Here is a 2586-nt window from a genome sequence, read left to right on the forward strand (position 1 = left end):
TGTGTGAATTTGATCCTGTCATCATGATGCTATCTACACACTAGTTGATGAAGCTTCTTCATAGTGTCATTGATCTTTATATTTTGGTGTGTTTTTGCGGTGGCTGGCATTGGGTTTTCCTTTCCATATTTAGTGCTTCCTTCAGGAGCTCTTTCAAAGCAGGCCTGGTGATGATGAAATCCCTCAGCATTTGCTTGTCTGGAAACGATTTTATTTCTCCTTTGCCTATGAAGCTTAGTTTGGCTGGATGTGAAATTCTGGGTAGAAAATTCTTTTCATTAAGAATGTTGAAGCCGGGCGCAGTGGCTCACGCTTGTAATCCCAGCACTTTGGGAGGCCGAGGTGGGCGGATCACGAGGTCAGGAGATTGAGACCATGGTGAAACCCTGTCTCTCCTAAAAATACAAAAAATTAGCCGGGCATGGTGGCGGGTGCCTGTAGTCCCAGCTACTTGGAGAGGCTGAGGCAGGAGAATGGCATGAACCCAGGAGGCGGAGCTTGCAGTGAGCCGAGATTGCGCCACTGCACTCCAGCCTGGGCGACAGAGCGAGACTCCATCTCAAAGAAAAAAAAAAAAGAATGTTGAATATTGGCCCCCAATCTCTTCTGGCTTGGGCTTGTAGGGTTTCTGCTAAGATATTTGCTATTAGTCTGGTGGGCTTCCCTTTGCAGGTGACCTGGCCTTTCTCTCTGGCTTCCCTTAACATTTTTTCTCATCATTTTGACCTTGGTGAATCTGGGGATTATGTGTCCTGGGGTTAATCTTCTCATGGAGTCTCTTAGTGGTGTTCTCTGTATTTCCTGAATTTGCATGTTGGCCTCTCTTGCTAGGTGGGAGAAGTTTTCTTGGATAACATCTTGAAGTGTGTTTTCCAGCTTTTTTCCATTCTCCCCATCTTCTTCAGGTACTCCTATCAATCATAGGTTTGATCTTTTTACATAGTCTCATATTTCTTGGAGGCTTTGTCATTCCTTTTCATTCTTTTTTCTCTAATCTTATCTGCATGCCTTATTTCAGCAAGGTTGTCTTCAAACTCTGATATCCTTTCTTTCACTTGGTCAATTCGACTGTTGATACTTATGTATGCTTCACAAAGTTCTCGTGCTGTGTTTTTCACCTCCATCAGGTCATTTGTGTTCCTCTCTAAACTGGTTACTCTAAGTAGCAGCTCCTGTAACCTTTTATTAACGTTCTCAGATTCTTTGCATTGGGTTAGAACATGCTCCTTTAGCTCAGCAGAGTTTTTTTATTACCCATCTTCTGAAGCCTGCTTCTGTCAATCTGTCCATCTCATCCTCCATCCAGTTCTGTGCCCTTGCTGGAGAGGCATTGCGATCATTTGGAGGAGAAGAGGCACTTTGGGTCTTCAGCATTTTTTAATTGATTCTTTCTCATCTTCATGAGTTTGTCTAGTTTTGATCTTTGAGGCTTCTGACCCTTGGTTGGAGTTTTTGTGGGGACTTTTTTTGTTGTTGATGCTGTTGTTGCTTTCTGTTTGTTTTTCTTTCAATGGTCAGGTCCTTCTTCTATAGGGCTGCTGTGGTTTGCTGGGGGTTCATTTCGGGCCCTATTCATCTGGTTGGCTCCTGTGCCTGGAAATGTCACTCAAGGAGGCTGGAAAGCAGCAAAGATGGGTGCCTGCTTCTTCTTCTGGGATCTCTGACCTCGAGAGGCACCAACCTAATGCCAGTAGGATCACTCCTGTGTAGGGTGTCTGACAACTCCTGTTGGAGGGTCTCAGCCAGTTGGGTGGCATGGGGAAGAGGACTTGTTTAATGAAGCACTTTGACTGTCCTTGGAGAGGGTGTGCTTTGTTGGGCGGGGGAGCCCACTCATCTGGGCTGCCCGGATTCCTCAGAACTACCAGGAGGAAAGGCTAAGTCTACTGGTCCGCAGAGACTGCAGCCACCCCTCCCTCTAGGGGCTCAGGCCCAGGGAGATGAGGGTTCTGTCCCTGAGCCTCTGGCTAGAGTTGGAGTTCTTGCAGGGAGGCCCTGCCCAGTGAGGAAGGATGGGTCCGGGTCAGGCCTGAAGAGGTGCTCTGGCTACAGTCTGCACAGTGGTGTGTTGGGCTGTGGGGGACATCTCTTGGGACTAAGCAGTCCAGCTTCCCTGGCTCCAGCAGGGGAAAAGTGTGGCCTGGAACTATAGAGATGGATGCCGCCCTTCCCCCACCCAGGGAGCTTAGTGTGTTAGGCAGTTCTGAGTCTCAGTGCTGGCTGCTGCCCCTCCCACAAAGGAGCTCAAAGGGCTTAGAGAACAGGTAGCTGCAGCTGTGGTGCTGGTCGCCCCTTCCCCTGGGAACTCAGCAGGCTTAAGCAGATTCTAGCTGAGTGGCTGTTGAGAATCTGCATGGCTTTGGGGTTGGGACCCAAGGCCCCGGTGGCGTGGGTTTGCGAGTGGGATCTTCTGATTCGTGGGTTGCACAGTTTTGTGGAAAAAGCACTGTTTCCCCAGCTGGGTAGCATGCTCACTCACTGCCTCCCTTGGCTGGGGGGGTGGGGGCTCCTTTGCCCCAAGTGGCTCTCAGGTGGGCTGCTGCACCACACTGCTCTTCCTTCTTCTCCGTGGATCATGCCAGCCAC

General features: G+C 49.3%; 1 annotated feature.

Moving 5' to 3' along the window:
- Positions 1502-2104: an enhancer, noted in NCBI's record as "H3K4me1 hESC enhancer chr3:34030184-34030786 (GRCh37/hg19 assembly coordinates)". NCBI's record gives its function as "activates a minimal SCP1, AML or CMV promoter by ChIP-STARR-seq in naive H9 embryonic stem cells {active_cell/tissue: H9 hESC(naive)}" and the evidence as "EXISTENCE:reporter gene assay evidence [ECO:0000049][PMID:30033119]".

Source organism: Homo sapiens, chromosome 3, assembly GCF_000001405.40.
Source record: "Homo sapiens chromosome 3, GRCh38.p14 Primary Assembly".
NCBI lineage: Eukaryota > Metazoa > Chordata > Mammalia > Primates > Hominidae > Homo > Homo sapiens.